Source organism: Homo sapiens, chromosome 1, assembly GCF_000001405.40.
Source record: "Homo sapiens chromosome 1, GRCh38.p14 Primary Assembly".
Taxonomy (NCBI): domain Eukaryota; kingdom Metazoa; phylum Chordata; class Mammalia; order Primates; family Hominidae; genus Homo; species Homo sapiens.
In genome coordinates this window covers 11967660-11981547 of record NC_000001.11, presented here as the reverse complement: position 1 = coordinate 11981547, position 13888 = coordinate 11967660, and the positions used below count along the sequence as shown (strand labels likewise).

The window sequence follows — 13888 nt, the reverse complement described above, 5'->3', positions numbered from 1 at the left end:
TGGGACAGAGGGCTGGAATACTTGAAGATTTGTCTAAGCTGGGATCTGAAATATTAGCTCCCTTTGACTCCAAAGCTCCTGGAGTGCAGCAGCGCGATCTCGGCTCAACCTCCGCCTCCCGGGTTCAAGCGATTCTCCTGCCTCAGCCTCCTGAGTAGATGGGATTACAGGCGTGTGCCAGCAAGCCCGGCTAGTTTTTGGTTTTAGCACAGACGGGGTTTCACCATGTTGGCCAGGCTGGTCTCCAACTCCTGACCTCAGGTGATCCGCCCGCCTCAGCCTCCCAAAGTGCTGGGATTACAGGTGTGATCCACTGCGACCGGCCTCCTTCCTTTTTTAACTACATTGAGCTGCCTTCCTCCCCCAAGCCCCAAACCTTGGGACACCAGAGGCGGATAACCAGAGCCCTTTTCTGGGTAGAAAAGAGATAACCAGAGCCCTTTTCTGGGTAGAAGAGAGAGAGATGATTGAGAATTTAAAGAGGGCAATGAAGGATTACGAGAGGGGGTAACGGGCAGTTCTGCCTTCGTGCGTCTTAACAGCTATTTATTCAACATTTTCTGTGTGCCTTCTCTGTGTGTGTCAGGCGCCACGTTAGAAATGGATAAGAAACAGTCCTGCCCTCCAGGGCCTTACAGTCCGGTGAGAAGTCATATAAGTAAACAGGGCTGAACGAGAAGGCAGTAACTGCCCAAAGTGGGGATGGCAGGGCGCTCCCGCGGTGAACGTGGACACCTATCAGGTGCTGAGTAAATGCTGGCAAAATGAAGACAGGATGAAAAATAGAGAAGGGGCAGGGGTAGAACATGGCCGTGAAGGGTGGAAAGGCGGGGGCGATGAGAAGCTACAGGGGACCCCACCGACCAGTCCCAGGTCCCGTGGCCCGCCCCCTCCTCTCAGGGCCGGGGAGGGCCCGGCGGCGAGGCCGGAGAGTGGGGACCCCGCTTGACTGCATCCCAGACCCCCGTGGCCCCAGAATCCCGTCGGCCCACGCCGAGCTGCTCAGGACTCGCCGGGCCGGGCCGGGCCAGTCCCCGCCACCCCGGCTTGCTCGCCCTCTCACCTTCACCTTCCCGGCCTCGCGGCGGCCATCACACTCACTACGTCACCAGCGAGCGCCACCCCAGGGGGAGGCGGGAGGAGGGAAGTGGATAAGCGCGTCACCAGTCGCCTCAGATTGCCCCTCGACCCGGGTGAGCTGGTGGACCCTGAGCCCAGCCGGCTCGCCCCGCCTACTCCTTACGCCTCTGCTGCCCCGCGACTCGGCGCTTCGAGCGGCGTCTCAGCGCGCCACTCCTCCGCGCGCCACTCCTCCGCCGGCGCGTCCCAAGCGGACGACGCAGAGGCTCGGACTCCCACTGCATCATGGGGGCTGTAGTTCCGGTGGGCGTCGGCCGGAGCTGGGGGGGCGGGGCAAAGCGGGGCGGAGCCTCAAGCTGTCAAGGGGCGAAAAACCAAGGGCGTGGAGTAGAGGTTCCCGCTTTTTCGCCGGTTGTCCTAGAGCCTGACCCTGGGGCCTCTGCCAGCTCTGGAATCCAGATTTGCATTCTGTAATCTTAGAGGAGTGTTCTCTAGAGGGCCAGGCCTAGGGTGAAGTGACTCATCGGGCAGACAGAAGCGAGCATGGGCCTGCTGCCCTTCAGTCGCCTTTGAGGAAAGAAGAGCAGCAACAACGGCGAATCAATGCCAGTGACTGAACTGCGTCTCTAACATCCACCGCTGTATTTAACGTCCACAGCAGTCCCAGGAGAGGGAGAGGAGAGGTTACCCAAGCTCACATGGTTACCCAGATCACCGGGCCCCAGTGATGCGGCAGACACTACTAGGAAACCGCAGCAAACAGATCCCTTGCAGGACTTGGCCTCCGCAGAGAAGGCTCCAAGCCTGAGCGCGCCAGAACAGTAGGCACTAGCCACGTGTGGCTCTCGAGTCCTGAGCCAGTGCAAACGGAGATGCGCTATAAGACTTAGGACAAAAAAGGCTGTTAAACTATCTCAATTTTTAGGAAAAAAAAATATCGACCGGGCGCGGTGGCTCAAGCCTGTAATTCCAGCATTTTAGGAGGGCGAGGCGGGTGCATCGGGAGTTCAAGACCAGCCTGGCCAACATGGTGAAACCCCGTCTGTACTAAAAATACAAAAATTAGCCAGGCATGATAGTGCACTCGGGAGGAAGAGGCAGGAGAATCGCTTGAACACGGGCGGTGGAGGTTGCAGTGAGCCGAGATCATGCCACTGCACTCCAGCCTGGGCAACAGAGACTCCGTCTCAAAAAAGAAAAAAAAAATCTATCTTTGAGCCAGAGTCTCACTCTCACTCAAGCTGGAGTGCAGTGGTGCAATCACGGCTCACTGCAGCCTCGAACTCCTGGGCTCAAGTAATCCTCCCACCTCACTCAGCCTCCCAAGTAGCTGACCACAGATGCTGCAGCCATGCCTAGTATTTATCTTTTGTAGACATGGGGAAGCATTTCACTTTGTTACCCAGGCTGGTGTCCTGAACTCCTGGACTCCTGGAGTCAAGCAATCTTCTCCTGCCTCGGCTTCCCAAAATGCCGGGTTACAGGTACCTGCCACAGTGCAGGGCTATTAGCCCATTACTATTTATATGCTGACTACATGTTGAAGTGATAATATTTTGGGTCATTTGGGTTAAATACATTACTAAGATTAATTGCACCTGTTTCTTTTTAAAAATGTCGCTACTAGAAAATTTAAAATTACATAAGTAGCTTGCATTTGTGGGTCAAACTGTAATTCTGTGGGATGGTGCTGCTCTATAACCATGGTAGAACAACCTCAATTTATTGCCACAAACAACCTCAAGAGGCAAATCAGTACTCTGATATAGAAGTGACTGGTTTATCAGTCTCATGACGATGGCCAAAGGGAGCTGTCCTGCCCACACTGCCCTCTGAGTAGCCTAGTGCCCCGCGGGTCTGACTGTGGACTGTGGGGCCACACGCAGACTCAGCCTCAGGGTGTAGACAGGGCCCTGTCTGGGATGTAGCGTGCCTTGGGGCCTCAGCTGCTAGCTGCCTGGTACTGGGTCGGATTGTTTCCTCCTCCACAATCTCTGGACTCCCTAAGGAGAGGAACTCTAAATTCCACTTCCATTCTCTGAGGGCAGGAACTATAAATTCCATTTCCTCTTTTTTTTTTTTTTTCTTTTTTTTTGAGAAAGAGTCTCGCTCTCACTCTGTTGCCCAGACTGGAGCTCAGTGGCACCATCTTGGCTCACCGCAACCTCCGCCTCAGGCAATTCTCCCGCCTCAGTCTCCCCACTAGCTGGGATTACAGGCGTGCACCACCATGCCTGGCTAATTTTTGTATTTTTAGTAGAGATGGGGTTTCACCATGTTGGCCAGGCTGGTCTCAAACTCCTGACCTCAGGTGATCCACCCGCCTCAGCCTCCCAAAGTGCTGGGATTACAGGTGTGAGCCACCACGCCCAGCCTTCCTTTTCCTTTTTAGCAGAATCTTGCCCGTCAGGTGAAAGCCTGGATGTTCTCTCTCCTAAACATCTCCCCTGCCCACTCCCTCCTCTTCCCTAAATTTCCCTGCAAGCATTGGTCTAGGTCCTGGTCACTTGCCTGGACTGCTGTAGGAACCTCTGAATCCATTCCCAGGCATTTAGTCTTGTACTCTGCCCAGCAGCTGGGCTTTATCTCTGAAACACATCTGCATACTTGCCCAGCAAGTAGAGGAAATCTCAGTTTGGAGATATGTTTCAACCCATTAACATGTGTTTCTCATTGAGATGGCTGAATCCTCGTTTCAACCCTCGGGATGACAAAACTCTCCTAGCAGTGCTGAGTGTTATTGGGAATGGGTGCAGAGCACACTGATGTACAACTCCAGGAGACCTTTCTTTCTTACGTTTTTGTTTTTTTTTTTAAGACAAGAGTCTTGCTCTCTCACCCAGGCTGGAGTGCAGTGGCACAATCTCAACTCACTACAACCTCTGCCTCCCGGGTTCAAGCGATTCTCGTGCTGCAGCCTCCTGAGTAGTTGGGTTTACAGGCATGTGCCATAAAGCCCACCTTATTTTTGTATTTTTAATAGAGACAGGGTTTTGCCATGTTGGCCATGCTGGTTGAGAATTCCTGGCCTCAAGTGATCCTACCACCTCAGCCTCCCAAAGCGCTGGGATTACAGGCATGAGCCACTGCACCCGGTCCATATTACTTTTTGTTGTTGTTGTTGTTGACAGGTTATTGCTCTGTCACCCACGCTGGAGTGTAGTGGTGCAATCTTGGCTCACTGCAACCTCCACCTCCCAGGTTCAAGTGATTCTCCCAGCTCAGCCTCCCAAGTAGCTGGGATTACAGGCACCTGCCACCACACCTGGCTAATTTTTGTATTTTTTTGTAGAGATGGGGGTTTTGCCATGTTGGCCAGGCTGGTCTCAAACTCTTGACCACAAGTGATCCACCCGCCTCAGCCTCCCAAAGTACTGGGATTACAGATGTGAGCCACAGCATCCGGCCCCCCATGTTACCTATTTTGTTTGACTTTTTCATGGTGAAGATGAGTTTGTAATCAGAAAAAAGTTAACAGTTAAAAACAACCCTATGCCGGGCACAGTGGCTCACACCTGTAATGCCAGCACTTTGGGAGGCCGAGGCAGGTGGATCATCTGAGGTCAGGAGTTGGAGACCACCGTGGCCAACATGGTGAAACCTCATATCTACTAAAAATACAAAAACTAGCTGGGCGTGGTGGCGGGTGCCTGTAATCCCAGCTACTCGGGAAGCTGAGGCACGAGAATTGCTTGAACCCGGGAGGCAGAGGTTGCAGTGAGCCGAGATCATGCCATTGCACTCCAGCCTGGGCGACAGAGTGAGACTCCATCTCAAAAACAAAAACAAAAATAACCCTAACATACACAAACACACACACAGGCTTGTGTCGGCACAAACCAGCTCAAGAACGTTCAAAAAACAGATTAGACATGGTGGCTTTCAGAGAGAGGAACTGAGCAGCTGGGGGGAAAGGATGACAGAAAGATTAAGATTTGTGCTGTTTGAATTTACAATGAGTCAATTTTGAAAATGAAAAGACTAAAAAATCTTTTTTTTTTTTTAATTGAGATGGAGTCTTGCTCTGTCACCCAGACTGGAGTGCAGTGGCCCAATCTTGGCTCATTGCAACCTCCACCACCTGGGTTCAAGCGATTCTCCTGCCTCAGCCTCCCGAGTAGCTGGGATTACAGGCGCATGCCAACACAACCGGCTGATTTTTTCATATTATTAGTAGAGACAGGGTTTCGCCACGTTGCCCAGGCTGGTCTCAAACTCCTGACCTCAGGTAATCCGCCTGCCTCAGCCTAAGTGCTGGGATTACAGGTGTGAGCCACTGTGCCTGGCCTCAAAAATCTTTTTTAAAAGACTTTCAGGCCTGGGATGGTGGCTCACGCCTGTAATCCAGTACTTTGGGAGGCCGAGGCGGATGGATCACCTGAGGTCAGGAGTTCGAGACCAGCCTGGCCAACACGGTGAAATGAAACCCCGTTTCTACAAAAAATACAAAAATGTGTCAGGCATGGATACCTATAATCCCAGCTACTCAGGGGTCGAGAGGCTAGCATGACCTTTCTTAAAGGCTCTAAAAAGAGGGCTCTTGGCCGGGCACGGTGGCTCATGCCTGTAATCCCAGCACTTTGGGAGGCCGAGGTGGGTGGATCATCTGAGGTCAGGAGTTCAAGACCAGCCAGACCAACCTGGTGAAACCCTTTCTTTAATAAAAAAACAAAAATTAGCCAGGCGTGGTGATGGGTGCCTGTAGCCCCAGCTGCTCGGAAGGCTGAGGCAGGAGAATTACTTGAACCCAGGAGGCGGGGGTTGCAGAAAGCGGGGATAGCGTCATTGCACTCCAGCCTGGAAGACAGAGTGAGACTCTGTCTCAAAAAAAGAAAAAAAAAAAAAAAGAGGGCTCTTAAAACCTCTCTCCCTGCAGACACTCACACCAAGACACACACACACCCACTCGCCCTGAGCATCTTCCCTTCAGTGGTTTAAATGACCTTTAATAGAAACTCTCCAGTTTCTGACGGTCTGTCCCTCTCTTCAGAGGCATCCAGGACAGGGTGACCCAGTGTGGTGTGTGGACCTGTCACTCCCCTCCCCACAGGCAAGTAGAAGATCGAGCTGTGCACAGATGCCTCTTCTGTCTCCCAAGAGGTTCTCTGGAGTCGCTGTCTCCAGGGGACTACGGTTTGCTCTCATGACCAGCCATGGAGGCAGAAGTCCCAGACTCAGGGCAGCCCTTGGAGTCTGATCCAGGTGTCTTTACCCCAAAACTTGAAGCAGAAGTCCCTGGTGCAACACCTGTGCCTGGGAGAAGCTCTGGCCATGGCTTCTCACCCAGACAGTCTTTCTGGGCAACTTGGGGAAGCCCCTGTTCTGCTCAAGTCTCACCCCATGGAAGAGGTGGGGGAAGGGGGCCTTGGTTTTTCAGGAAGACAGGTTGGAGAGCACGAGTCACTACAAAGCAGTAAAAGTGAATGGTGTCTCCAGGGGCTGGGTCCAGAACACCACGGAGAGCCCCAGCCATAAAGGTGTGTTCCGCCTCTGGCCTGCAGGAATCTCTTTGAATCTCTTTGATTGGTGGCTCCAAGAGCAATGGGAAGTCAACAGCCAGGAGGCTGGACTGGGTTCCCTGGGACCCCGAGGTCCCAGAGGCTGCTGGGCAGTGGTTGTCGGCAAAGAAGAAAGGTCCAAGAGGGTCAGGCCTGGCCAATTAGGGATCGACGAAGGAGACTGCGATGTAGCGGGTGCCCCTGGTGGTGGGGAGCCCCTCATGGTAATGCGTGAGTCGTCCAGGGTGCATGAGGGTCCAGCCCTTCCTTGGGGCTCGGATGGAACAGTTGTAGCGCAGGAACCGACAGCCCCCGCCCTGGGAGACAGAAAGCATCAGTGGCCTTTCCCCACCGCCCCCCTGCCCGTCTGTTCTCCCGTCATGATCTCCTGTCATGGCCAAGTGGCCCTCAGCACTGCCTGCCTGGGGATGCCTTCTGGAGTGACAGCCACAAGCGCTGCTAAGGAAGACACTAAATGAAGAGTAGTGGCCAGGAGTGGTGGCTCACGCCTGTAATCCCAGCACTTTGGCAGGCCAAGGCGGGTGGACCACCTGAGGTCAGGAGTTCAAGACCAGCATGGCCAACATGGTGAGACCCCATCTCTACTAAAAATACAAAAACCAGCTGGGTGTAGCAGCGCACGCCTGTAATCCCAGCTATTCGGGAAGCTGAGACAGAATCACTTGAACCCAGGAGGCAGTGAGCCGAGATCGCGCCACTGTACTCCAGCCTGGGCAACAGAATGAGACTGTCTCAAAAAAAAAAAAACCCAAAGAGTAAGTGATCAAGAGCTCTGTCCTTGGAGTCAGGCAGCCCTGGGCAGACATCACCTCCACTCTTTACTAACTGTGACCAACCTGAGCTTCAGTTTCCCCTTCTGTAAAATGAGGGTTAAACAGAACAGGATAGTGAGAATTAAATGAGATGTTACAATTGAGAGCTGAGGATCAAGCTTCCCAACCTCACCACTATAGACACTTTGCTGTGGAAGGCTGTCCCGGGCATCTCTGACTTCTACCCACTAGATGCCAGTAGCCCCTCATAGTTGTAAAAACCAATTATGTCTCCAGGTACTGCCAATGTCCCTTGCAGGCCACAGTTGCTCCTGGTTGAGAATCCTTGGATTAGGGATGCCTGATATGTTTGTTGTAAGCTCTCAAAAAATTATAGCTCCAGCCTGGGCAACATAGTGAAACCCCATCTCTAAAAGCAAGAAAAAAAATTAGCTGGCCATGGTGGCACACGCCTGTGGTCCCAACTACTTGGGGGGGCTGAGGTGGGAGGATTGCTTGGGCCCAGGAGGTTGAGGCTGCAGTGAACTGTGATCATGCCACTACACTCCAGCCTGGGTGACAGAGCAAGACCCTGTCTCGAAAAAGAAAAAAAAAAGGATTATAGCTGTTTTTATGAGTGTTCTCCACAGCACCCAGCCCAGGGCTAAGTTCAAAAAACCTCTTTTTGTTTTTTTTGGAGACAGAGTCTCGCTCTGTTGCCCAGGCTGGAGTGCAGTGGCATGATCTCAGCTCACTGCAACCTCCACCTCTTGGGTTCAAGAGATTCTCATGCCTCAGCCTTCTGGGTAGCTAAGATTACAGGTGTGTGCTACCACGCCCAGCTAATTTTTCTATTTTTAGTGGAAATGGGGTTTCGCCATGTTGGCCAGGCTGGTCTCAAACTCCTGGCCCCAAGTGATCTGCCTGCCTTGGCCTCCCAAACTGCTGGGATTGCAGGCATCAGCCACCATGCCGAGCCCAAAAATCTCTTAAAATAGTAGCTTAAGAGCCTGGCCCCTCCTCCTGCTAGACTGTGAACCCTTCCAGGAAGCCCTCCCACAGACCCACATCCTTTTTTTTCTGGTTCTCTGGCACTGGTTACCTGGGGCCCCTCTGCCTCAACCACCCTGAAGCCTCTCCTCAGCTAGCCCTCCTCATCCCCATTGCCGGCCCCTTGACCCCGGCTGGCTCCTGCTCACCTCGTAATCCACCCCGACTCGGTTCAGGGCGATGTTGATGGTGAAGGTGGAGGCATCATGGTGTGGCATCAGTGAGGGCTGCTCATCAGGCTTGTAGCGGACGACAAAGGCCAGGTCAAACTGGGCCTGTACCAAGGCAGGGGGACAAGAGAGCCCGTGTTAGTTAAGGAGGACACAAAGGCCAGGAGAGGAGGGTGCACACATGGGGCCTGGTCTGGCCTGCTGCAGGTCAGCTTACAGGGGCCAGGTCTACATGGGGCTCTATGCTCGAGTGCCTGCAACTACCTGGCACAGAAAAGGTTCTCAACAAAAATGTATGGACAGAGGGGAGAGAGGGAGGGAAGGAAGAGAACAGAGGGGAAGGAAGAAAGGAAGGGAGGGAGGGAGGAAGGGAGGAAAAGGGAAGAGAAGAAATGAAAGGGAAGAGAAGAAATGAAAGGGAAGGAGGCCGGACATGGTACTCACGCCTGTAATTCCAGCACTTTGGGAGGCCAAGGTGGGCGGATCACCTGAGGTCAGGAGTTTGAGACCAGCCTGGCCAACATGGTGAAACCCCATCTCTACTGAAATTACAAAAAATTAGCCAGACATGGTGGTGGGCGTCTGTAATCGCAGCTACTTGGGAGGCTGAGGCCGGAGAATCGCTTGAATCTGGGAGGCGGAGATTGTAGTGAGCCAAGATTGCGCCACTGCACTCCAGCCTGGGTGACAAGTGCGAAAGAAAAGAAAGAAAAAGAGACAGAGAAAGAGAAAGAGAGAGAGAAAGAAAGAGAGAGAGAGAGAGAGAGGAAGGAAGGAAGGAAGGGAAGAAAGGAACGAAGGAATGAATGAAAAGACAAAGACAAAGGGGGGCATCCAATCCTCACAACCCTTTCTGGCAACTATCCAGGCTGGATTCCCTGAGGCAGGACCCAGGCACGCCATGGGCAGGTATCTGGAGAAACCAGAGACCAAGGAAGGAACTGAGTCTTGGAGAAAGTACCTTGGAGAAAGCCAAGGTAGCAGTGGACAGACACATGAGTGATAGCACTGGAAAGAATTGTGAGAATTAACCGAGGCCAGCCAGGTAATTGTTTCCGGGGAACCACAGTAAGCATTCAAGGGATGAATGACAACTGTCAGTAACAGGAGTTCAGGGTTTTCCTCACTATTGGAAGAAGGCTGCTTCGGACGAAGCAGGGCCCAGGCGTGGGGCACAGGCTTGTGGCTAGGGAGGGAGTGGGCACGCTGGCCAGCTAAGGTGGGCAGGGGTGCTTTTTTGGTGGGCTGGTATAGGAGCCACTGAGGCAGGGTTAATGACAAGGAAGAAAGATTCAAAAGAGCTGAGGTCGGCCAGGCACGGTGGCTCATGCCTGTAATCCCAGCACTTTTGGAGGCAGAGGTGGGCGGATTACTTGAGGTCAGGAATTTGAGACCAGCCTGGCCAACATGGTGAAACCCTGTCTCTACAAAAAATACAAAAATTAGCCAGGCATGGTGGCAGGTGCCTGTAATCCCAGCTACTCATGAGGCTGAGTGAGACTCCAGCTCAGGCTAGAGGCCAACTAGCCGGCCCTAGAGTCCCAGCCCAGCACCCTGTCTTCCCACACGCTACTAGATGGAGGGGGTGTGTGCGGTGAGACCTCACTCCTGCCTGGGGACCAAATATCCAGGCCTCTCCCATAAGCTGGGATGTTCCTCCACCCGTACTCCAACCCAACCCCTTCCCCAGCCCCTCCCCTTGCCAGACTCTCCAGCCCCCACCCACCCCTGGCCCTTCCACCCAAGCCCCCCACTCCACCCTACCCCTCCCACCCCATCCCCCTGCCCCACACTGGCCTCGACCTCCCCACCAACTCCTGCCCCTTCCAGTCTCTCCACTCCCTCACCCCTGCCCCCCCGCCCCTCTAGGCTTTCCACTCCCACTCACCCCTGCCCCTCCCAGGCTCCCTACTCCTCTCCACCCCTCCCAGCTTCTCTACCACTTCCCACCCCACCCCTGCTCTTCCCAACCCCATCCCCACCCCTCAGTCCCTCTACCTCATGCCCCACCCTTGCCCCTCCCACGCTCCCCACACCCTCACTCCACCTCGGCCCCTCCCAGTTTCTCCACCTCCCACCCTACCCCCACCAGTCCCAGCCACTCCACTGACACCCCACCCAACTGTCCCCGCATCCTGGCTATGCCCCAGGCTTGCCCACCCTGGTGTAGTAGCCGGGGTAGAGCTTCTCCGTCATGGGCGCAATGTACTCCAGCAGGAATTTGTGCCACTCCCGCTCAAAGCCGATCTGGTTCATGTGGATGTCAATAGTCGGCACGTTCTCGTAGCCACCCTGGATGCGGTTGTCCTGGAGGTGACCGAGGTGAATGTTTAGGCAGAATTCTAGGATGGCCCCCAGGCTCTGTCTACTCCCCTCTCCTACACCCGGGAATGTGACCGGACCACATTACATGACAAAACTGAACAGGCTTTGCAGATACAATTAAGGCTCCTAATCAGTTGACTTTGGGTTAATCAAAAGGGAGATTATCCTGGGGGGGCCTGACCTACTAGGTGAGTCATCTGCAGAAAGACCTTATTTTTTGAGACAGGGTATCCCTCTGTTGCACAGGTAAGAGCGCAGTGGCGCAACTTCAGCTCACTGCAGCCTCAACCTTCCAGGCCTAAGTGATCCTCCCACCTCACCCTCCCGTGTAGCTGGGACTACAGGCACGCACCATCACGCCCAACTAATTTTATTTTTATTATTTTTATTTTTGTGTGTGTGTGACGGAGTCTCACTCTGTTGCCCAGGCTGGAGTGCAATGGCGTCATTTCAGCTCACTGCAACCTCCACCGCCTGAGTTCAAGTGATTCTCCTGCCTCAGCCTCCCGAGTAGCTGGGATTACAGGCGTGCGCCACCATGCCTGGCTAATTTTTTTTTTTTTTTGTATTTTTAGTAGAGATGGGGTTTCATCATGTTGGCCAGGCTGGTCTCGAACTCCTGACCTCAGGTGATCTGCCCACCTCGGCCTCCCAAAGTGCTGGGATTACAGGCGTGAGCCATGCACCCAGCCACTAATTTTATTCTTTGTAGAGATGAGGTCTCACTATGTTGCCCAGGCTGGTCTTAAACCCCTGGACTCAAGCGATCCTCCTGCCTCAGCCTCCCAAAGTGTTGGGATTATAGGCATGAACCACTGCGCCTGGCTAAAGGAGGATACTGAAGAGAGATTCTGTCTCTTGCTGGCCTTGAAGAAGCAAGTTAAGTTCTACAGCTGCAGGGGAATGAATTCTGCAACAACCAAGTGAGTTTGGAATGGAATCCTGGGCCTCAGATGAGACCCCAACCCCAGCTGACACCTCAATGACCCAGCTAAACTGGGCCCAGATTCCTGACCCACAGAAACCAGGAGATAACACACGGGTGTTATTCTGAGCCACAGTCATTTGTTACAGAGCACTGAAAACTTGTTCCAGGGCCAGAGTCAGCTGGGGTCCGAGGTCTGGCCCTGTCACTGGAGCACAAGCATCAGCCAGCCCCCAGAATGCACGGGCTAGTCCAGTTCCTGGCTTCTGGAGATCAGCTCAGCAACCAAAGCATGTGGATTAGGAAGATAACCAGAACTTCAGGTTAGTCCAGTTGCCAGGTCAGAGGTTGGCACACAGGTCCAGGGTCTCATGTGCCTTTAAAAACGGTGCCTTAAACTTGGGAACACACATTTCTGTTAAACAACTTAGAAAATGAGGCCAGGCACGGTGGCTCACGCCTGTAATCCCAGCACTTTGGGAGGCCAAGGTGGGTGGATCACCGGAGGTCAGGAGTTTCAGACCAGCCTCACAAACACGGTGAAACCCCTGTCTCTACTAAAAATACAAAAATTAGCCAGGCGTAGTGGTGGGTACCTGTAATCCTAGCTACTCAGGCGGAGGTTGCAGTGAGCTGAGATTGTGCCATTGCACTCCACCTGGGTGACGAGCAAAACTCCGTCTCAAAAAAAAAAAAAAAAAAAAAATTAGGCATGGTGGCCAGCACCTGTAATCCCAGCTACTTGTGAAGCTGAGGCAAGAGAATCACTTGAACTCAGGAGGCAGAGGTTTCAGTGAGCCGAGATCGCACCACTGCACCACTGCACCACTGCACCCCAGCCTGGGCGACAGAGCGAGGCTCCACTTCACCAAAAAAAAAAAAAAAAAGGACGTAGAAAATGAGAGGTGGGGTGCCCGGTGCGGTGGCTCATGCCTGTAATCCCACCACTTTGGGAGGCTGAGGCAGGTGGATCACAACATGAGGTCAGGAGTTCGAGACCAGCCTGACCAAAATGGTGAAACCCATCTCTACTAAATATACAAAAATTAGTCGGGCATGGTGGCAGGCGCCTGTAATCCCAGCTACTCGGGAGGCTGAGGCAAGAGAACTGCTTGAACCTGGGAGGCGGAGGTTGCAGTGAGCTGAGATGGCGCCACTGCACTCCAGCCTGGGCGACACAGCGAGACTCCATTCAAAAAAAAAAAAAAGAAAAAAGAAAATCAGAGGTGGGTTGGGGCTTGAAGTACATAGGAGATATGAATGTTGTAAAACTGTCAGGAGACGAAAAATTCCTTTCTGCAGTTTCTCTTCTGTGAAAGGGCTAAGGACAGAGTTTGCTTAGTAGGTAATGTTGCCTTTAAGTACAGTGGTGTATTTTTATTCAAGATTGTGCTCTTTTATCAAAATCCTATGGAAATAAATGTTCTGGGATCATTAAAATAAAAAAAATAAATAAAATAAAAAGGTGCCTTAGGCCAGACACGGTGGCTCACGCCTGTAATCCCAGCAATTTGGGAGGCCGAGGTGGGTAGCTTACCTGAGGCCAGGAGTTTGAGACCAGCCTGGCCAACATGGTGAAACCCAGTGTCTACTAAAAATACAAAAATTAGCCAGGGATGGTGGCACACGCCTGTAGTCCCAGCTACTGGAGAGGCTGAGGCAAGAAAACTGCTTGAACTTGGGAAAGGAAGGTTGCAGTGAGCTGAGATCATGCCACTGCACTCCAGCCTAGGTGACAGAACGAGACACTGCCTTAAAAAAAAAAAAAAAATTTACACACACACAATTAAATAAATAAAGAATACAAAGATTAGCTGGGCGTGGTGGCACACGTCTATAATCCCAGCTACTCGGCAAGCTGAGGCATGAGAATCTCTTGAACCTGGGAGGCAGAGGTTGCAATGAGCCAAGATTGCGCCACTGTACTCCAGCCTGGGCGACAGAGTGAGACTCGGTCTCTAAATTAATTAATTAATTAATTAATTAAAATAAATAAAATGAAATTGTGCCTGGTTCACAACCAGCCTGGGCAACACAGCCAGACCCCGTCTCTATTATTTAAAAAAA

At 52.7% G+C, this 13888-nt stretch overlaps 2 protein-coding genes across 9 annotated transcripts in view, besides 2 other annotated features; both read right to left on the bottom strand.

Moving 5' to 3' along the window:
• Window positions 1-1104, bottom strand: part of MFN2 (mitofusin 2) — a 33065-nt gene extending 31961 nt beyond the window's left edge. For all 7 annotated transcript variants that reach the window (XM_047436154.1, XM_047436149.1, XM_005263543.4 and 4 more), the window contains exon 1: window positions 1064-1104. The gene's annotated coding sequence lies outside the window, so the exon portion shown is untranslated. The remainder of the gene's footprint in view (window positions 1-1063) is intronic.
• Window positions 819-1058: a silencer, noted in NCBI's record as "silent region_280". NCBI's record gives its function as "represses an Ori minimal core promoter by ATAC-STARR-seq in GM12878 lymphoblastoid cells {active_cell/tissue: GM12878}" and the evidence as "EXISTENCE:reporter gene assay evidence [ECO:0000049][PMID:35858748]".
• Window positions 1229-1488: a silencer, noted in NCBI's record as "silent region_279". NCBI's record gives its function as "represses an Ori minimal core promoter by ATAC-STARR-seq in GM12878 lymphoblastoid cells {active_cell/tissue: GM12878}" and the evidence as "EXISTENCE:reporter gene assay evidence [ECO:0000049][PMID:35858748]".
• The window catches only part of PLOD1 (procollagen-lysine,2-oxoglutarate 5-dioxygenase 1), a 40821-nt gene continuing 32943 nt past the window's right edge, over window positions 6011-13888 (bottom strand). For both annotated transcript variants that reach the window (NM_001316320.2, NM_000302.4), the window contains 3 exons: window positions 10732-10878; window positions 8551-8676; window positions 6011-6895 (listed from right to left, as the gene is read on the bottom strand). In NM_001316320.2, coding sequence (NP_001303249.1) covers window positions 6740-6895; window positions 8551-8676; window positions 10732-10878 — 429 coding nt within the window. In that variant the 3' untranslated portion in view covers window positions 6011-6739. The remainder of the gene's footprint in view (window positions 6896-8550; window positions 8677-10731; window positions 10879-13888) is intronic.